The following is a 22,374-nucleotide window of genomic DNA, read 5'->3' as shown; positions in this document are numbered from 1 at the left end:
TGTTCACTCTGATGATGGTTTCTTTTGCTGTGCAGGAGCTCTTTTGTTTAATTAGATCCCATTTCTCAATTTGGGCTTTTGTTGCCATTGCTTTTGGTGTTTTAGTCATGAAGTCTTTGCCCATGCCTATGTCCTGAATGGTATTGCCTAGGTTTTCTTCTAGGGTTTTTATGGTTTTAGTTCTTATGTTTAAATCTTTAATCCGTCTTGAGTTAATTTTTGTACAAGGTGTAAGGAAGGGGTCCCATTTCAGTTTTCTGCATATGGCTAGCCAGTTTTCCCAACAACATTTATTTAATAGGGAATCCTTTCCCCATTGGTTGTTTTTGTAAGGTTTGTCAAAGATCAGATGGTTGTAGATGTGTGGTGTTATTTCTGAGGCCTCTGTTCTGTTCCGTTGGTCTAGATATCTGTTTTGGTACCACTACCATGCTGTTTTGTTTACTGTAGCATTGTAGTATAGTTTGAAGTCAGGTAGCATGATGCCTCCAGCTTTGTTATTTTTGCTTAGGATTGTCTTGGCTATACGGGCTCTTTTTTGGTTCCATATGAAATTTAAAGAAGTTTTTTCTGAATCATGAAGAAAGTCAGTGGTAGCTTGATGAGAATAGCATTGAATCTTTAAATTACTTTGGGCAGTATGGCCATTTTCACAATATTGATTCTTTCTATCTGTGAGCATGGAATATTTTTCCATTTGTCTGTGTCCTCTCTTATTTCCTTGAGCAGTGGTTTGTAGTTCTCTTTAAAGAGGTCCTTAACACTCAGTAAACTAGGTATGGACAGAACATATGTCAAAATAAAAAAAGCTATTTATGAAAAACCCACAGCCAATATCATACTGACTGGACAAAAGCTGGAAGCATTCCCTTTGAAAACTGGCACAAGACAAGGATGCCCTCTCTCACCACTCCTATTCCACATAGTATTGGAAGTTCTGGCCAGGACAATCAGGCAAGAGAAAGAAATAAAGGTATTCAAATAGGAAGAGAGGAAGTCATATTATCGCTATTTGTAGATGACATGATTGTATATTTAGAAAACCCCATTGTCTCAGCCCAAAAACTCCTTAAGCTGATAAACAACTTCAGCAAAGTTTCAGGATACAAAATCAATGTGCAAAAATCACAAGCATTCCTATACACCAATAATAGAAAAACAGAGAGCCAAATCATGAGCAAACTCCCTTTTGCAGTTGCTACAAAGTGAATAAAATACCTAGGAATACAACTTACAAGGAAACTTCCTTCATTTTTCTAACCACATTATGAGGTAAGTATTATTAGTCCTACTTCACAGTTGAAGAAACAGGTATGTAGAGATTAGGTAACTCATCCAAGGCAGAAGTTTGGCTTCATAGTTCATGTTTTTAACTATATTCATAGCACTGATGTTATCTTCCTAACATCAATCTGTATTAGTTTTCTATTGCTGCACAAAAGATTAAAAGATTATCATTGCTCCTATCTAATCAAGATAAAACATGGAACTTGCTAAGCTAGAGATACATATGAATTACCTACGTGGAAACGACTGAAGGAAGACAAGCTATGGGTCTGGAACTCAGGGGAGAATATGCAGCAAGAGATATAGATTTAACAATCATAAGTTATAAGTGGGAGTTAAAACAGTAAAAGTGGGTGAGATTGCTAGGAAATGACAGAGAAACACCAATATTGAGGGTGGGCAGAGGAAGATAAACCTACAAGAAAACTGAAGAATCAGCCAGAAGAATATGAGAAGAAAACCACTGGAGAAACTTGTAAAACTTAGTGGCTTAAAGCAGCAAATGTTTATTATCTCACAGTTTCTGTGGTTAGGAATCCAGGTGTAGCTTAGCTGGGTCTCCTGGTTCAGGTCCTCTTATAAGGCTGCAGTCAGGGTGTTGGCAAGTACCCAGTCATCTGAAGGCTCTGATGGAGGTAGATCCACTTTTAAACTCACTCATTTGACTCCTGGCAGGTGTCGCTTCCTCCTGGGCTGTTGGACTGAGGAAATCAGTTCCTTTCTGGTTGTTGGCTGCAAGATGCCCTTTGCTCCTTGCTAGAGGGACCTTTCCACTGGGCAGCTTGCAACATAGCAGCTTGCTTTATTAGAGTGAGCAAGCGAGAGAACAACAGGGTGGAGATTATCTGTAAGGCAAAGTCACAGCCTCTTATAATTTAATCTTGGAAGTGATATCCCACCTACTTCTGCCATATTCTGTTGTTAAACATGAGTCACTAGGTCCAGGCCACAATTAGTAGAAGAGGCTTTCACAAGGGCTTGAATATCAGGAGGTACTGGTAACTGGGAGCCATTTTAGAAGATACCACATAGCTCACGGTTAGTAACCACCTTGTCTTAATTTCCATACATTTCCTTTCTTATTGAGTGAATTTGATATCAAAAGGCCTAGCTATTTTGGCTATCATAGCAGCAATGTTTTGCCATTATGCTGCATACTATTTATTTTCATGCTTACATCTTGTTTTAGACTGAATAATGTCAGCTGCTATAATATAGAATTCAAAACTCTCTATGACTTAATACAAAACAATAGACTTTTTTTTTGATATGGGCCAGACTGCTCTGCTAGGTGGCTTTCTCTAAAGGGTAATACAGGGATTTAGACTCATGTGGCTCTACCATTTTGAAATGCATCCCTCTAGCCATAAAGATGTGGGAGATTTTAAGAGCCAGGCTTGTAAGTGATGTTCATCGTTTTTGCACACATTGCATTGCCCAGAACTAGTGACAGGGCTCAACTCTAAGGGAAGATGGAAAATGTAATCTTCTGTGCGTGCTCAGGGAAAAAAGAAAGGACAAAAGGATTGGCAAGGAGTTAATTTCACCTCACATCTTATTGAGATATGCTACTTGCCTTAAAAAAGTAAATATATATGTGTACACACACACACACACACACACACACACACACACACTGTTTAAGTCTTTCCCTTAAAAAATTCTTTTGACTCTATTTATTTCATTTTTTATTAAAAATATCATATATATAGAAAACACATAATTATACAATATTGTTTAACATGTAATTATAAAGCAAACAAATAAGCAACCATTCAGTCACTGCCCAGATCAAGCATTAGAATGTGGCCAGCACCCTAGAAACCCCCTGAATACTTTGTCAATTACAACCCCACACTATCCCAAATTTTATGATAACTGCTTTCCCATTACTTTATGTTTACCTCTACCAGAACCTTCTTGTCTTCCTTCTTGATTAGGATTTTGGAATTTGCCACCACCTCCTTCTGTCCCCATGCCCTCCACTCATATTTAGCCCTCAAATCCTTATACCTGATCTCCAGTCAAACTGCTCTTCCTATCCCCAAAATCACCAGGGACTCCCTTATTATATTCGACAAATGTCTTAGTCCTTTTCTTCATGGACTTACTTGTAGAATTTGACTATGATGGCATTTTCTGTTTCTCAAAACCTTTGACTTGTTACAAGTTTCTCCAGTGGTTTTCTTCTCATATTCTTCTGGCTGATTCTTCACGGTTTTCTTGTAGGTTTATCTTCCTCTGCCCACCCTCAATATTGGTGTTTCTCTGTCATTTCCTAGCAATCTCACCCACTTTTACTGTTTTAACTCCCACTTGTAACTTATGATCGTTAAATCTATATCTCTTGCTGCATATTCTCCCCTGAGTTCCAGACCCATAGCTTGTCTTCCTTCAGTCATTTCCACATAGGTAATTCATGTGTATCTCTAGCTTAGCAAGTTCCATGTTTTATCTTGATTAGATAGGAGCAATGATAATAATAGATAGGATTTATTGAGTTCTTTCTAGGTGCCAGGCACTGCTTTAAGTGCTTTACATGAATTAATTCATTTTAATTCTCATTTTAACAACGAATACCATAAAGTAGTTACTATTATCATTGTACAGATGAGGAAACTGAGGCATAGGAATGTTAAGCTGCTTGCCCAAGGTCACAAAGAAATATCAGGCATATCCTTGATTTAAAGTCTGGCCCTCTAGCTTCAAACCAGGTTTCCTGGCCCCTGTAATGTATATAGCTGCCTCTCAAGTCAGGGCTTGTGTCTAAGCTTTTGACCATGAGTCTAATGGAATTTATGTAGTATTCAGCTTATTGAGACGGGGATATATAAGAGTAATATTAGTTTGAGTTGATGTGAGATTCTTTTAATTCTCCAGACATCTAAAAACATCTGTCAACAGTATGGCAGCTAAATCCTATCCAGGGATGACTCACCCCATTTCAAAGTAGAAGGAGTCAGTATTATTTTGTGTACAAATATAAAATAGGTAAGTCAAATACAAATACAAATGAGTCAGTCACCACAAAATAATGCTGACCCCCCTCTACTAACAACAATCAAACTGATTGTACTATATAAATTTTTTATACTTAGTTATAAAGAATTAGTAGTGGGAGAAACTTTGCCTATTGAAGGTATGTGCATGTCTGGAGAGATGAGCAACCTATTCTAAGAATAACAGACTAAGGCAGAGAAATAAAATAATGTATCAAGCTTGGTGGTACAAATGTAATATTCATACTTTATAACTATGGATAGACCTTTCATTTGTGTTAGTGGGCTAGTTTTTAAAAACAACATGATGGAAGAATGAGAATTTTTCATTGGCTCAGCCATAAAAGTTAGTATTGTTTTATAGGCTCAATGACTAAAACAAATTATGCAGTGCTTGAAAGAAATTCAGTAGCAGTTGAGTAATAATTTCCATGAAGAAATTAGTCAGTGACATGTGGTATTGAAATCATGTGAACAAAAAGCTCAACAGCACTTATCAGTAGACAAATGCAAATCAAAACCACAATGAGATACCATCTCTCACCAGCCAGAATGGCCATTATTAAAAAGTAAAAAAATAACAGATGCTGGCAAGGTTGTGGAGAGAAAGGAACACTTGTACACTGTTCGTAGGAGTGTACATTAGTTCAACCATTGTGGAAGACAGTGCAGCCATTCCTCAAATATCTCAAAACAGACCTACCATTTGACCAGCAATCCCATTACTGGATATATAACCAAAGGAATATAAATTATTTTATTATAAAGACACATGCACATGTATGTTTCTTGCAGCACCATTCACAATAGCAAAGACATGGAATTAACCTAAATGCCCATCAATGGTAGAATGGATAAAGAAAATGTGGTATGTATACACCATGGAATACTATGCAGCCATAAAAAATGAAATCATGTCCTTTGCAGCAACATGGATGGAGCTGGAGGCCATTATCCTTAGCAAACTAATGCAGGAACAGAAAAGCAAATACCACATGTTCTCACTTATAAGTGGGAGCTATGTTCACCCACATAGAGGGGAACAACATATACTGGGTCCTATGAGAGGGTGAAGGTAGGGAGGAAGGAAAGGATCAGGAAAAATAACTAATGGGTACTAGGCTTAATACCTAGGTGATGAAATAATCTGTGCAATAACCCCCCCATGACACAAGTTTACCTATATAACAAACCTGGAAATGTACCCCTGAACTTAAAATAAAAGATAAATAAATTTTTTAAAAAAGAAAAAAGGCAGAATAGCCAGACTCTCAGATAATTGCAGCCACGTTTGGATCATGTGATGACTTGTTACTTGTAATACTCATTCAAGGAAGAGAGGGCCTTGCCTTATTAACCTTTCACAGCAAATTAAGTTGTATTAATGATAAATATATATATTTTGCTCAACAGATCAGTGCCATTGTACTTAATCTCACTGATAGCTCATACATTCAAAATTCTCAGAATTCACTTTCATAGTTCAAATGTTCTCTAAGGTAACTTTCTTACTTTTCTCTTATTACTTAGATGACACTGGATCAAAAATCCATCTGACTCAACAGGTAGACATGGCGGCACAGGTTGCCTCTGGAATGGCCTATCTGGAGTCTCGGAACTACATTCACAGAGATCTGGCTGCCAGAAATGTCCTCGTTGGTGAACATAATATCTACAAAGTAGCAGATTTTGGACTTGCCAGAGTTTTTAAGGTGGATTTAGTTTTGTTTTAATTAGTTTTTGTAATAGGTCAAAAGTCTAACAGTTAGTAGACCAATAGATATACTGTTATTCTTTAAAACAATGTTTCTCCAAGTTCTGTAGTCCATAAACTACTTCAGTAGTCCAAAGCCTTACAAACTACCTGCACCTTCCTATTTCTTAATCAAGGAGAAACAAAATAAAGAAAACAATGACCAACCAGATTGGAAAGTATGTACTTAAGTTTATAGTTGAATTAATGATCTATTTTTCAGTTAGTACCAGTCACCTCTGTTTGCCTCTATTTCCTTTACAAAAGCAGTACACTTTGTGCAGTGTTAACCTAAACCACTATTACTCACTGTATGCCAGATTAATTTGCATGCTGCCAGAATTCTTCAGCAATCATTGGCTTTTTGATTTCCCCATTTTTACCTCAGTCTGAAAGATACTATATAGGAGATATAATATTAGGTGCTTTTCTCTTAAATTAATTTTACATTTCCACATTGTACCCTAAAAATATGGACATAGGGCATAAAACAACAAATAAATGATTCCCTTTTAATCTTCATGAATTCATCATTTTTTTCTTTTTGTAAATTAATTAGTACCCCAGTGAGTTTATATATTAATTTAAAACACTTGGATCCTACTTTTCATTATTAGCAAGTGGTTACATGGTAATTATCAAAGTCAGTGGCTTTTCAATATCATCAGTAAATCAAACAATAGACTTTGCTTCCTTTTTTTTTTTTTTTTTTTGCTCAAGACCAGATGTGAAGCCAGAATCATCATGTATTAATTCTCCAAATGTAGTAGAATGTTTCTTTCAGTGCTATTCTTGGCACATAGTAGGCTCTTAAATAATATTTTATTAATGACTTCCCACATATTTTTCAGTCTTGTATGCAAGATTCAGAATTTGCTACTGTAATTGTCAGTTGAACTAAGCTCATTTTGAATCTTTTCTCTCTAAATTTTGAAGTGAAGCAGATTATAGATGAATGAGGTTAGCAAAAAAAAAAAAATTGCTTTAACTCGGCCTGATTCCTTAATACATGAACAGGTAGATAATGAAGACATCTATGAATCTAGACACGAAATAAAGCTGCCGGTGAAGTGGACTGCGCCCGAAGCCATTCGTAGTAATAAATTCAGCATTAAGTCCGATGTATGGTCATTTGGAATCCTTCTTTATGAAATCATTACTTATGGCAAAATGCCTTACAGTGGTGAGTAATTAATTCTGAAGTGGACCTTTCTGCTGCATGTCACTTACTTAGGTGTGATTTTAACTGCTTTGCCCAGACTTAGAGGGCAGAGTTATGAGGCTGACCATACCATACCTGCGGGAGCTTGATAGATAAAATTTGATGATGATAATTTGCATTAATGAGGTGGTTTATTGCTTCCCTCTCCTTTGCTAGTGAATTGCAGTCTTATAGACATCACTTGCTGCAGGATTTAGTTTAATCTGTGTAACCTGAGAAGGGGATGGCAGACCTTAAATCTTTGCCAAAGAAATTGACTTACTTAGTAACCTAGAGTATAAATGGCTATAAGTTTAAGACTCTGACCTTTAACTTGTTTTTTTTGTTGTTGTTGGTTTCGTTCTGTATTTTCAAGGTATGACAGGTGCCCAGGTAATCCAGATGTTGGCTCAAAACTATAGACTTCCGCAACCATCCAACTGTCCACAGCAATTTTACAACATCATGTTGGAGTGCTGGAATGCAGAGCCTAAGGAACGACCTACATTTGAGACACTGCGTTGGAAACTTGAAGACTATTTTGAAACAGACTCTTCATATTCAGATGCAAATAACTTCATAAGATGAACACTGGAGAAGAATATCAAATAATAAAGTAGCAAAACAAATTCAAATAATCCATTCCAAAATACAATGTTATCAACCAACTGCACAATCAGTTTATCCTGACATATTCAAGTGATAGGATAAAGTTGGCCATGTATTATGAAAAAGATTATTTGTGCATTTTATTGACTGGGCAACACTGCAGGACAGTCAAGGTGATATATAATTTCCTCACTGCCTGGTAAAATTAAGCACACTAAACCAAGTTATTTTTCTTTTTAAGAGATACTTACATTTCCATTTATTGTTTGAAATGTCGATCAAGAGAATCAACAGATGATAGTCCAATTTTTACTCAGTGACTGTTGTAGCATTTTCCTGTTTACTGATTAGAGTGGTTATTCATTATTCCTCAGATTGCTGAATCCCATCAGGCTGTTATTATGAAGGAATTTGATTGCTTTGCTGCACAGCAGGACCTGTGCTTTGAGATTTTTTTTTCTCTTTTAAAATATCCTGTAACTACAATGATGGTAAAGCCATGTTAAATGACTTGATTGTACTTGGAGTAATTGCACATTTTTTTCTATGCATAAAAAAATGATGCAGCTGTTGAGAAAACGAAGTCTTTTTCATTTTGCAGAAGGAAATGATGGAATTTTTCTGTACTTCAGTATGTGTCAACTGAGAGTCATATACATTAGTTTTAATCTCTTAATATTGAGAATCAGGTTGCAAAACGGATGAGTTATTATCTATGGAAATGTGAGAAATGTCTAATAGCCCATAAAGTCTGAGAAATAGGTATCAAAATAGTTTAGGAAAATGAGAGGAGAACAGTAGGATTGCTGTGGCCTAGACTTCTGAGTAATTAATAAAGAAAAAGAAGTACCCTTTGGCCTACAGATCAGAGTTTTATTTATTTTTTATTTTTTACTTTTTATTATAGTTTAAGTTCTGGGGTGCATGTGCAGAATGTGCAGTTTTGTTACATAGGTGTACAAGTGCCATGGTGGTTTGCTGCACCCATCAACCCGTCGTCTACATTAGGCATTTCTCCTAGTGCTGTTCCTCCCCTAGCCCTCCATCCCCTGACAGGCCCCAGTATGTGATGTTCCCCTCCTTGTGTCCATATGTTCTCATTGTTCAGCTCCCACTTATGAGTGAGAACATGCTGTGTTTGGTTTTTTGTTCTTGTGTTAGTTTGTTAAGAATGATGGTTTCCAGCTTTATCCATGTCCCTGTGAAGGACATGAACTCATCCTTTTTTATGGCTGCATAGTATTCCATAGTGTCTATGTGCCACATTTTCTTTATCCAGTCTATCGTTGATGGGCATTTGGGTTGGTTCCAAGTCTTTGCTATTGTGAATAGTGCCACAATAAACATGCATGTGTCTTTATAGCAGAATGATTTATAAGCCTTTAGGTACATACCCAGTAATGGGATCGCTGAGTCAAATGGTATTTCTAGTTCTAGATCCTTGAGGAATTGCTACACTGTCCTCCACAATGGTTGAACTAATTTATACTCCCACCAACAGAGTAAAAGTGTAAATGTGTTCCTATTTCTCCACATCCTCTTTGGCATCCAAAACAGCATCCTGTTGTTTCCTGACTTTTTAATGATCACCATTCTAACTGGTGTGAGATGGTATCTCATTGTGGTTTTGATTTGGATTTCTCTAATGATCAGATGATGAGCTTTTTTTCATATGTCTGTTGGCTGCATAAATATCTTCTTTTGAAATGTGTCTGTTCAAATCCTTCGCCCACTTTTTGATGGGGTTGTTTGTTTTTTTCTTTTAAATTTGTTTATGTTCCTTGTAGATTCTTGGTATTAGCCCTTTGTCAGATGGATAGCTTGCAAAAATTTTCTCCCATTCTGTAGGTTGCCTGTTCACTCTGATGATAGTTTCTTTTGCTGTCTAGAAGCTCTTTAGTTTAATTAGATCCCATTTCTCAATTTGGGCTTTTGTTGCCATTGGTTTTTGTGTTTTAGTCATGATGTCTTTTCCAATGCCTATGTCCTGAATGGTGTTGCCTAGGTTTTCTTCTAGGGTTTTTATGGTTTTAGGTCTTACATTTAAGTCTTTAATCCATCTTGAGTTAATTTTTGTATAGGTGTAAGGAAGGGGTCCAGTTTCAGTTTTCTGCATATGGCTAGCTAGTTTTCCCAACACCATTTATTAAATAGGGAATCCTTTCCCCATTGGTTGTTTTTGTAAGGTTTGTCAAAGATCAGATGGTTGTAGATGTGTGGTGTTATTTCTGAGGCCTCTGTTCTGTTCTGTTGGTCTAGATATCTGTTTTGGTACCACTACCATGCTGTTTTGTTTACTGTAGCCTTGTAGTATAGTTTGAAGTCAGGTAGCATGATGCCTATAACTTTGTTCTTTTTGCTTAGAATTGTCTTGGCTATGCGGGCTCTTTTTTGATTCCATATGAAGTTTAAAGTAGTTTTTTCCAATTCTGTGAAGAAAGTCAATGGTAGTTTGATGGGGATAGCACTGAATATATAAATTGCCTTGGGCAATATGGCCATTTTCACGATATTGATTCTTCCTATCCATGAGCATGGAATGTTTTTCCATTTATTTGTGTCCTCTCTTATTTCCTTGAGCAGTGGTTTGTAGTTCTCCTTGAAGAGGTCCTTTGCATCCCTTGTAAGTTGTAATCCTAGATATTTCATTCTCTTTGTAGCAATTGTGAATGGGAGTTCACTCATGATTTGGCTCTCTGTTTGTTATTGGTGTATAGGAATGTGTGTGATTTTTGCACATTGATTTTGTATCCTGAGACTTTGCTGAAGTTGCTTATCAGCTTAAGGAGATTTTGGGCTGAGATGGTGGGGTTCCCTATATATACAATTCATATCATCTGCAAACAGAGACAATTTTACTTCCTGTTTTCCTATTTGAATACCCTTTATTTCTTTCTCTTGCCTGATTGCCCTGGCCAGAACTTTCAATACTATTTTGAACAGGAGTGGTGAGAGGGGGCATCCTTGTCTTGTGCCAGCTTTCAAAGGGAATGCTTCCAGGTTTACCCATTCAGTATGATATTGGCTGTGGTTTTGTCTTAAATCTGTCATTTTTTTTGAGCTACGTTCCATCAATACCTAGTTTATTGAGAGTTTTTAGTATGAAGGGGTGTTGAATTTTATCAAATTTTCTGCATCTATTGAGATCATCATGTGGTTTTTGTCATTGGTTCTGTTTATGTGATGGATTGTGTTTATTGATTTGCGTATGTTGAACCAGCCTTGTGTCTCAGGGATGAAGCCAACTTGATCGTGGTGGATAAGCTTTTTGATGTGCTGCTGCACTCAGTTTGCCAGTATTTTATTGAGGATTTTTGCATGGATGTTCGTCAGGGATACTGGCCTGAAATTTTCTCTCTTTTTTTTTTTTTGTTGTGTCTCTGCCAGGTTTTGGTTTCAGGATGATGCTGGCCTCATAAAATGAGTTAGGGAGGAGTCCCTCTTTTCCTATTGTTTGGAATAGTTTCAGAAAGAATAGTACTAGCTTTGTACCTCTTTGTACCTCTGGTAGAATTCGGCTGTGAATCTATCTGGTCCTGGACTTTTTTTGGTTGGTAGGCTATTAATTACTGCCTCAATTTCAGAACTTGTTATTGGTCTATTTAGGGATTCATCTTCTTCCTGGTTTAGACTTGGGAGGGTGTATGTTTGCAGGAATTTACCCATTTCTTCTAGATTTTCTAGTTTATTTGCTTAGAGGTATTTATAGTAATCTCTGATGGTATTTTGTATTTCTGTGGGATCAGTGGTGATCTCCGCTTTATCATTTTTTATTGTGTCTATTTGATTCTGCTCTCTTTTCTTCTTTATTAGTCTGGCTAGCATTCTATTTTGTTGATCTTTTCAAAAAATCAGATCCTGGATTCATTGATTTTTTGAAAGGTTTTTCATGTCTCTATCACCTTCAGTTCTGTTCTGATCTTAGTTATTTCTTGTCTTCTGCTAGCTTTTGAATTTGTTTGCTCTTGCTTCTCTAGTACTTTTAATTGTGATATTAGGGTATAGATTTTAGTTCTTTCCTGATTCCTCTTGTGGGCAGTTGGTGCTATAAATTTCCCTCTACACACTGCTTTAAATGTGTCCCAGAGATTCTGGTATGTTGTGTTTTTGTTCTCATTGGTTTCAATGAACAACTTTATTTCTACCTTAATTTTATTATTTACCCAGTAGTCATTCAGGAGCAGGTTGTTCAGTTTCCAAGTAGTTGTTAGGTTTTCTGTCAGTTTTAATCCTGAGTTCTAATTTGATTGCACTGTGGTCTTAGAGACTGTTTGTTATGACTTCCGTTCTTTTGCATTTGCTGAGGAGTGTTTTACTTCCAATTATGTGATCACTTTTAGAATAAGTGCGATGAGGTGCTGAGAAGAATGTATATTCTGTTGATTTGGGGTAGAGAATTCTGTAGATGTCTGTTAGGTCCACTTGGTCCAGAGCTGAGTTCAAGTTCTGAATATCTTTGTTAATTTTCTGTCTCATTTATCTGTCTAATATTGACAGCAGGCTGTTAAAATTTCCCACTATTATTGTGTGGGAGTCTAAGTCTCTTTGTAGTTCTCTAAGAACTTGCTTTATGAATCTGGGTGCTTCTGTATTGGGTGTATATATATTTAGGATAGTTAGCTATTCTTGTTGCATTGATCTGTTTACCATTATGTAATGCCCTTCTTTGTCTCTTTTGATCTTTGTTGATTTAAAGTCTGTTTTATCAGAGACTAGGATTGCAACCCCTGCTTTTTTTTTCTGCTTTCCGTTTGCTTCGTAAATATTCCTCCATCCCTTTATCTTGAGCCTGTGTGTCTCTTTGCATGTGAGATGGGTCTCCTGAATACAGCACACTGATGGGTCTTGAGTCTTTATCCAATTTGCCATTCTGTCTTTTACTTGGGGCATTCAGCCTGTTTACATTTAAGGTTAGTATTGTTATGTGTGAATTTGATTCTGTCATATGATGCTAGCTGGTTATTTTGCCCGAAAGTTGATGCAGGTTCTTCGTATCCTCGATGATCTTTACAATTTGGTATGTTTTTGCAGTGGCTGGTATTGATTGTTCCTCTCTATGTTTAGTGCTTCCTTCAGGAGCTCTTTTAGGGCAGGCCTGGTGGTAACAAAATCTCTCAGCATTTGCTTGTCTGTAAAGGATTTTATTTCTCCTTCGCTTATGAAACTGAGTTTGGTTGGATATGAAATTCTGGGTTGAAAATTCTTTTCTTTAAGAATGTTGAATATTGGCCCCTACTCTATTCTGGCTTGTAAGGTGTCTGCAGAGAGATCCTCTGTTAGTCTGATGGGCTTCCCTTTGTGGCTAACCTGACCTTTCTCTCTGGCTGCCCTTAACATTTTTTCCTTCATTTCAACCTTGGTGAATATGACGATTATATGTCTTGGGGTTGCTCTGCTCGAGGAGTATCTTTGTGGCGTTCTCTGTATTTCCTTAATTTGAATGTTGACCTGTCTTGCTAGGTTGGGGATGTTCTCCTGGATAATATCCTGAGGAGTGTTTTCCAACTTGGTTCCATTCTCCCCGTCACTTTCAGGTACACCAATCAAACGTAGACTTGGTGTTTTCACATAATCCCATATTTCTTGGAGGCTTTGTTAGTTCCTTTTCACTCTTTTTTCTCTAATCTTGTCTTCTCCTTTATTTCATTAAGTTGATCTTCAATCTTTGATATCCTTTCTTGTGCTTTATCGACTTGGCTATTGATAATTGTGTATGCTTCATGAAGTTCTCATGCTGTATTTTTCAGCTCCATCAGGTCATTTATGTGCTTCTCTATACTTGTTATTCTAGTTAGCAATTCCTCTAATCTTTTTACAGTGTTCTTAACTTCCTTGCATTGGGTTAGAACATGCTCCTTTAGCTTGGAGGAGTTTGTTATTACCCACCTTCTGAGGCCTACTTCTATCCATCCGTCAAACTCATTCTCCATCCAGTTTTATTCCCTTGCTGGCAAGGAGTTGTGATCCTTTGGAGGAGAAGAGGCATTCTGTTTTTTTGAATTTTCAGCTGTTTTGCGCTGGTTTCTCCTCATCTTCCTGGATTTATCTACTTTTGGTCTTTGATCCTGCTGATGTTCGGATGGGGTCTCTGAGTGGACATACTATTCCTTTCTGTTTGTTAGTTTTCCTTCTAAGAGTTAGTGCCCTCTGCTGCAGGTCTGCTGGAGTTTGCTGGAGGTCCACTCCAGATGCTGTTTGCCTTGGTGTCACGAGTGGAGGCTGCAGAACAGCAAAGATTGCTGCCTGTTCTTTCCTCTGGAAGCTTCGTCCCAGAGGGGCACCCACTGGATGCCAGCCAGAGCTCTCCTGTATGAGGTGTCTGTTGGCCCCTACTGGGAGATATCTCCCAATCAGGATAAACGAGGGTCAGGGACCCACTTGAGGAGGCAGTCTGACTCTTACCAGAGCTCGAGCACTGTGCTGGGAAATCCACTACTCTCTTCAGAGCTGTCCGGCAGAGATATTTAAGTCTGCTGAAGCTGCTCCCATATCCACCCCTTCCCACAGGTGCTCTGTCCCAGGGAGATGGGGTTTTATCTATTAGTCCCTGACTGCCTTTTTTTTAGAGTTGCCCTGCCCAGAGAGGAGGAATCTAGAGAGGCAGTCTGGCCAGAGTGGCCTTGCTGAGCTGAGGTGGTGGGCTCTACCCAATTCGAACTCCCAGGCAGCTTTGTTTAGACTGTGAGGGTAAAATGCCTACTCAAGCTTCAGCAATGGCAGACGGCCCTCCTCCCTCCAAGCTCGAGTGTCCCAGGTCGACCTCAGACTGCTGTGCTTGCAATGAGGATTTCAAGCCAGTGAATCTTAGCTTGCTGGGCTCCGTGGGGGTGGGACCCGCCAAGCTAGACCACTTGGCTCCCTGGCTTCAGCCCCCCTTCCAGGGGAGTGAATGGTTCTGCCTTGCTGGCATTCCAGGCACCACTGGGGTATGGAAAATAAAACTCCTGCAGCTAGTTCAGTGTCTGCCCAAATGGCTGCCCAGTTTTGTGCTTGACACCCAGGGCCCCAGTGGCGTAGGCACCGGAGGGAATCTCCTGGTCTGCAGGTTTCAAAGACCATGGGAAAAGTGCAGTATCTGGGCTGGAGTGCACCGTTCCTCAGGTACAGTCCCTCATGGCTTCCCTTGGGTAGAGGAGGTAGTTCCCTGACCCCTTGTGCTTCCTGGGTGAGGTGACACCCCACCCTGTTTCAGCTGGCCCTCCATGGGCTGCACCCACTGTCCAACCAGTCCCACTGATATGAACTGGGTACCTCAGTTGGAAATGCAGAAATCACCCGCCTTCTGCGTTGATCTCACTGGGAGCTGCAGACCAGAGCTGTTCCTATTTGGCCATCTTGCCAGCAATCAGACCAGAGTTTTAAATGGACTACAAAATAGGTCAAACTCTATTTCAGAACTAGAGGCTAGGAATAATGTCCAAACTTGGTTATGAAAGTTTTTTTTTTTTTTTGGTCTGGTAGGATAAGAGGGTTTTTACTCATCTTAAGTTTGAATTAAACTTTGTAACAAAGTTATTGTTTTTTTAAACAATGCATGTATCAAATTATCTGTCTCATTAGATAACTAGGTAGACTTTTCCAAGATGGTTTCAAAATCAAATATATATTCAAAGATCTTCCAGTGTAAAGCAATAGGAATGAAACAAGCCATGAGAAAGCAGAATATTTTGAGTATATTCTCATGCCTTTCTTTAAAGGAGAAGCGCCTATCTAAACAGTTACAGAAACCCAAATTCAAAGTAGATTAAACAAGAAGTAAATTTGTAAACTCTTTTAACTGGGAGACAGGAAGTAGGGAGGGCTCCAGGCACAATATCATTAGCAGTTCAATGTGAACGAAGACCCATGTCCTTTCCAAGCCTCCCTCTGCCATCAGCATTGCCCTCCTTCCCAGGGTCACAGATGGCTATCAATGGCAAAACTGGGGTTCCGCGTTCTCTTCTCCTCATCTGGCAAGAGAAAATGGGAAATCTCTATCCCAAGCTTGGATTAAAAATTATTTTCATTTTTGTGTTCCAGCAAACTTGGGTCCTATGCCCAGCCATGGACCAAAAATAGGCTTAATGTGAATGTTATGTGCTGATTGGATTAAAATAAGTTCTGACTCTGAATCTGGGAATGTGGTCACCTTCCTCAGAGACAAGTTGAGAGGTTGGCTTATCTGAATAAAAGCAGAGAATATGAGATGCTGGAGAGGTGTTCATTAAGGAGAACATTCCCTGAGGTGAATTAACGGTTAGAATTATCTATCTCTGTATTTATCTATCCACCCATCTATCATCATCATCACCTCATCTCCCTCCTTTCTCTCTCTCTAAATATATACATGCGGGTATGTTGAGTGTGTATATATTTATTTTTTTGTGTGTTTATATGGTGTGTGTGTGTGTGTATTCCAGGCAGATGTGTGCATATATACCCAAACTTTCCTGATGACCTTGAAATTAAATGGGTCATGTGAAGCTAAAGATTATAGAACCCCTTGATTCCTTTATAAACAGTATTTCTAAGATAAGATCAACACTAATCTTTCAAATTAGTTGACTGTGTATAGAACAACTTGTTTATTTAAAGTCATCTAGTCTAATGCAATCAAGGAGTAAATTATAAATAACCAGTTAGCATAAATGGAAAGAAAATAGTTCCTTTTCTTTGAATTCATTTCATGTTTAATTTTTCTTGCGCACATATAGAAATGAATAGAAATATTCCCATTTCAATATGCAAATTCAGCCACTATATAGTTTGTTTCTTTTTGGTAGCTAATAATAATAAATTTTTAAGTAAGATCTGATTTTGAAATATGAAAAGAAGTTTATCCTTTCCTGTTTTAATACCACCTGATACCCGTTTAACTTACTGTGTTTGATTCTTGGGGACATTTATGTTCAAGGTTCTGTCAAAGCAATCTATTATTCTTGTTTTTACCTGATGGATCATGGAGAAAAATAATGGATTCAGTTATGAGAAACAGTAATAGATTTTTTTAACTGCCATAAATTTCTCTCCCTGTATTAAATAAAAGGATCAGGAAAAGATAAGTTGAATTTTCCTACAATGAGCCAGCTCTTCTTAAATTTACCTCCCATAAATTGTAGCAAAGCACTTTTCATATAATGTTTTATTTATGTAATTCAGTTATTTGGAGATGGTGGTGAGGGATGTGAGTACATCATTTCATGTTGTATTTCAAATCTCTTTTGACAGAAACCCTAAGAATTTGCAATAAAGAAAATTCAATGTTCCATTAAGTTTTTCTTTTTCTTTTTTTTTAAAAAGAGGGTAAGGAAGGAAATAAGGGAATAGATTTAAGTTACCTAAGGTCAAAAGAGGCACAGGGTAGACTCTGAATAGTTGTGGAACCTGAATATTTTGTCATCAAAAACAAAGTTAAAGTCAGAGTGACCAGGAATCTGCAAACTGGCTGTGGGAATGGGTTGACTTAAAAGACAGACAAAGAACTAGCCTGTGGGGTAACATCAGGCTAGGCTCACCCTCAGCTTCTACCCACAATATCTGTATGATGACCATGTGGATCTAATGAACCAGGAGGGGCCCAAACTCTTCCGACTCTGTGGAGGCCTAAAGGAAACTGTTGCCATTGGAAGGATGCCATACCACTACCCAGCTGGAGCTTCCTGAAGGAAGCAGAGCCCAGCTGGTGTTCCATGGTTTGTTAAGCATATGCCATACCTACAATCACTTTTTTCATGGTCTGGTTGAGCATATGATTTCTGAACCAAATAGCCTTTCTGGTATTGTGTCATTGGTGACTCATTATGATTCTTTAAAAAGACACATTATGTGAGCTAGAATGGTGATGATTTGGGTACCTTATTCAAATTGCATCATCATTTAATTCAAGAGAAAGGCCATTCTTAAAGTAAAAGTAAATGAGGTTTGTACACCTGGGTATTGGAATTGCCAGTGGGCTGATCTGACAATGTTTGATTCTTGTTTTTTCTGGAATTATTATGTAGAAGATTCAGTCTATAATCTTCAACATGATGCAAATATTCAGTGTCATAGGATCAAAAAAATGCTGGAAAGTATCTAAAAATCTTTTAAATTCATATCTTAATTTTCAGTGTTATCCTCTTACTGCCTACATTCCCCCACTAAACTCTTAGATTTTTCTCTGCTTTTGTTAAGAAAGTGATGTTAGTAGGCCTCTCAAGTTATTTATGAAATTTAGAAATATACTGGAGAACAAAGTAGTATATAAACCCTGAATTTCAAAAGCCTTAACAAGTTTAGCTTCAATCTACATTCAGATGACACTATCTACAGAGATGTTATAAGATTAAATTACAAGAAAAGAGATGCCCAATTATTTCCATTTACTCTTCTTGCCTAGGTAGTTAATTTATCTATTATTCATTTGAAGCAACAGACGTCAATGTAACATCTTTTTCATTTTCATGGAGAATAATCAGCTTTTCCAGAAAAGGGTGCTATATCTCAAACACACCTCAAGTGTCCAGTTGGAAGTATTACCATGCAGAGGATTCAAGTCATATTACCTAATAACCAGAAGTTGTATGTTGGGAAAAAGTGGTTAAAAGCAACTAAAACTGCCCTGTTTGGAAGAAACTAAATATTGCTTTATAATGATTTTCTGATATTTTAGAATAGAGGCTTCAATTATACTATTTGTGAAAAAGAAAACTGCTTGGTATTAACCAAGTTACATTTAATTTTTATGGTCCACAAAATTTCAGAGTAGAAATATATCATAGCTTTTAATCAATTTTCAAAATCTATATTTAATTATTGATTCAAAAAATAAGAAATAAAATCAATTAGCCAGATTTGTATACTTTAAAGCTACCACAGTGAGATTTTTCTCTTAAAAACATGCATGTTTTTATATTGTATTCTTTAATATTTATATTGTACAGTTACATGTGACACATATTACATATGACTAATTTATATGTAGCAACAGGGATTAAAGAAGACCTCTTTTAATTGTACCACTTGTTATAATGCTATTATTTACCCAGATTCAAATGTAACTACTTACAATTTTTAAACATTTTTATTTCTGTATTCTTTAAAATATTAAGGCAATGGTTTTTCTTGAAATTATATTTTGCCCTATGTATTCTATTTTTATTCACACTGGATTTATTATGATAATTATATCAAAGTGATTATTTTTACCCTGACTTTTAAAAGTCAACTGTTTCAGAAGTCAAGTTGATTGTGGATCTAAAATATAAATTCAATGTGTTCATAGCACGTGAAATGTCTCCTCAGTTGACTATGTTAAGAGTTTGCATTTGTATGATGAAGAAAGTAAGTCTGTGAATCCAGGGGATATGATCTTGCTGATGCCATTTACTGCAGATCATCTGCTTCATGTCACCTTTCTCAGAGTCCCAGGCTAATGGAGAAACCTCCAGCTTAGACGTTGTTGGTTGCTGTGGCAGTAGGAACGAAAGCTCTAGCGGATCTCATGTTGGCAGTTCCATCCTTGGGCCCAAAAGATACACGTCTCTTGTGCTCCCACTCATTGGCCACAATTACGTGGCTTCACCCAGACACAAGGAATGATGGATATACAATCTTACCATGTACCCAGACATAGAGCTCTCCAGAAATACTCACTAAGTAGCACTAAAGGCTGTTGCACTGTGATAAAACAAACTCTAAGTGAAGCTGAGTGGTGGAAGGTCACAAGTACTCAGTTATCCATTTCTTCTTCATTAATTATTATATTTATTCATTCAGCATATATTGATTGCTTACTAAGTAGAAGTATTGAACTAAATGTTTGGATATAATTGTTAACAGAGAAATACACCCTGTTTTTCTCTAAGCTTACTATCAGGGGAGACCAACTGGGCATGTGAATCTTAGCTCACAAACCTACATGCACACTTTTTACCTTCTTGTTTTCCTCCTAAGAATTAAATTATCGTCTAAGGATCCATTCTCACTTTCCTCCTTAGTAGCAGAACCAGCTGAAAGATCACACTGCCCTCCCTCTTTTGCAGCTAGAGGTTGCGAAAGATATGTAAGAGAAAGTTGGTTTGCAGGACTTCTAGGAAGACTTTGTATGGTAAACAGCTGGCATGGGCCGTTCTTTGTCTTTTTCTCCTTTGTTAAGTCTTAAGCCTTAACCCTGGCAGCCATCTTAGATCATGAGGAACACTTAGAGATGGAAGTCACTTCTTTTTTTTTTTTTTTTTTGTTTTTGAGACGAAGTCTCGCTCTGTCACCCAGGCTGGAGTGCAATAGCAGGATCTCAGCTCACTGCAACCTCTGCCTCCTGATTTCAAGTGATTCTCCTGCCTCAACCTCCCAAGTAGTTGGGATTACAGGCGCACGCCACCACACCCTGCTAATTTTTTTGTATTTTAGTAGTGACGGGGTTTCACCATGTTGTCCAGGCTGATCTCGAACTCCTGAGCTCAGGCAATCCACCCGCCTTGGCCCCCCAAAGTGCTGGGATTACAGGCGTGAGACACCGTGCCCGGCCCGGAAGTCACTTCTAAGTAGGGTGTGGGTCATTGATGAAAGGGAAGTTGCCATGCCATCCTTGGATTGCTGACCTCAGGAATTCTAGTATTGGAGGGCTGAAATGCTATGCTATTTAAGAAACTGTGATGTCTAATCTCTATTTCTAGAGACTGGCACACCCAATTTCTGAATAACACATTATCTACTTAAAATCTTAATTCTGCCAGGTATTGGAAAATAAATGTTATTTCTAGCATTTTTCCCTAAGTGCTATGTGCCTTTAGCATGTTAAGGCTTTGGGGCAGGAGGAATTGTCTGGTGCCAGTATCATGTCATTACCTGTCTATGTGACTATCTGCTGAGATGTCTTCTCTCCCAATTGAAGTGAATGTGGCCTCAACTCTTTCTAATCCATTTCTATATCCTTATGTAGTCCAAAGGAAGAATTCAACCCCTCTGCCTAAATGCTCCCACAACCAGGAGCTCTTCTCCCCTCTACCATGCCATATGTGAGAAAGTACTTGGAAGCTTTCCTCCTCTCAGTCTCTACTCGGGAATGAACATAGGTACCCTCTGCTCTCAGATTCCCCCACCTCACCCAGAAGTCCTCCCATTCTTCCTCTTCACATTGTAGAGCAGGGCTTACCAAACTGTGAATGTTCCTTTAACTCCATTCTTCCCTTTGCACTTGAATCTTTAGTCTTTTATGATGCTGAACTTAGGTGGGGTGGACCAGAAGACTGATAAATTCATTTCAAAAGCCTTGGATTTTAAAACTCTAACGACAAGAATTTGACTTGTGTTTTCCTATTTTTCAACCGTAATAATCCTCCCTTTAGATGATAGAGCCTCATAGTCTAGTAGTCCAAAGTGGGAGGACTAAAGCATAACAGAAAATACCTGGGAAAAACATTAGCTAATATCTTAAAATAGTATCCTGCAACATATGGAAGTTAAACAAAAGTCACACAAAAAGTACTTAAGTAGGTTATGCTGAGTATTATAGAGGAGAAATGTGGGATGCTGTGGGAGTGAATAACAAATACTCCTAACTGGTCCTGGGGGTTGGGGAAAAATGAAGAAAGTGGTGTTTACCTGTGGTCTTAAGGATGAAAAGCTTATTAAGTACCTCTAGTCTGAAGGTATGCATGGCAAAGACATAGACCCAGTTTGATGGGAGTGTGGGAGTGAGGGGGAAAGTACTCACATTAAGGATGGCCAGGCATGTCCAGTCCCAATCATAGAGGTTCGTATAGTTGAGATTAATAATCAGAATCTTAATCCCACTGGGCAGTCACTGAAAACCTTGAAATTGTTAATATTGAGAGGTGACAGTGTGCTGGCAGCCCTCACAGCCCTCGCTTGCTCTCAGCGCCTCCTCGGCCTTGGCGCCCACTCTGGCCGTGCTTGAGGAGCCCTTCAGCCCGCCACTGCACTGTGGGAGCCCCTTCCTGGGCTGGCCGAGGCCAGAGCCGGCTCCCTCAGCTTGCGGGGAGGCGTGGAGGGAGAGGCACGGGCGGGAACTGGGGCTGCGCGTGGCGCTTGCGGGCCACCACGAGTTCCGGGTGGGCGTGGGCTCGGTGGGCCCCACACTCCGAGCTGCCAGCCGGCCCCGCCCACCCCGGGCAGTGAGGGGCTTAGCACCTGGGCCAGCAGCTGCTGTGCTCGACTTCTCGCTGGGCCTTAGCTGCCTCCCTGCGGGACAGGGCTGGGTACCTGCAGCCTGCCATGCTTGAGCCTCCCCTCCCCGCCGTGGGCTCCTGTGCTGCCGGAGCCTCCTAGAGGAGCGCCGCCCCCTGCTCCAGGGCGCCCAGTCCCATTGACCACCCAAGGGCTGAGGAGTGCGGGTGCAGGGCACAGGACTGGCAGGCAGCTCCACCTGCAGCCCTGGTGCGGGATCCGCATGGTGAAGCCAGCTGGGCTCCTGAGTCTGGGGGGGACTTGGAGAACCTTTATGTGTAGCAAAGGGATTGTAAATACACCAATTGGCACTCTGTATTTAGCTCAAGGTTTGTAAACACACCAATCAGCACCCTGTGTCTAGCTCAGGGTTTGTG

At 38.8% G+C, this 22,374-nt stretch overlaps 1 protein-coding gene across 9 annotated transcripts in view; it reads left to right on the top strand.

Annotated features, from left to right (window-relative positions):
* Positions 1-19,093, top strand: part of FRK (fyn related Src family tyrosine kinase) — a 169,577-nt gene extending 150,484 nt beyond the window's left edge. For all 9 annotated transcript variants that reach the window (XM_011535656.3, XM_011535655.3, XM_011535654.3 and 6 more), the window contains 3 exons: positions 5,817-5,998; positions 7,057-7,222; positions 7,617-19,093. In XM_011535656.3, the coding sequence (XP_011533958.1) occupies positions 5,817-5,998; positions 7,057-7,222; positions 7,617-7,828 (560 nt within the window). In that variant the 3' untranslated portion in view covers positions 7,829-19,093. The remainder of the gene's footprint in view (positions 1-5,816; positions 5,999-7,056; positions 7,223-7,616) is intronic.
* Positions 19,094-22,374: the final 3,281 nt, after the last annotated feature.

Source organism: Homo sapiens, chromosome 6 (genome assembly GCF_000001405.40).
Source record: "Homo sapiens chromosome 6, GRCh38.p14 Primary Assembly".
NCBI classification, from domain to species: domain Eukaryota; kingdom Metazoa; phylum Chordata; class Mammalia; order Primates; family Hominidae; genus Homo; species Homo sapiens.
Note: the sequence above shows the minus strand (reverse complement) of the source record. Positions and strands in the feature narration are given on the sequence as shown.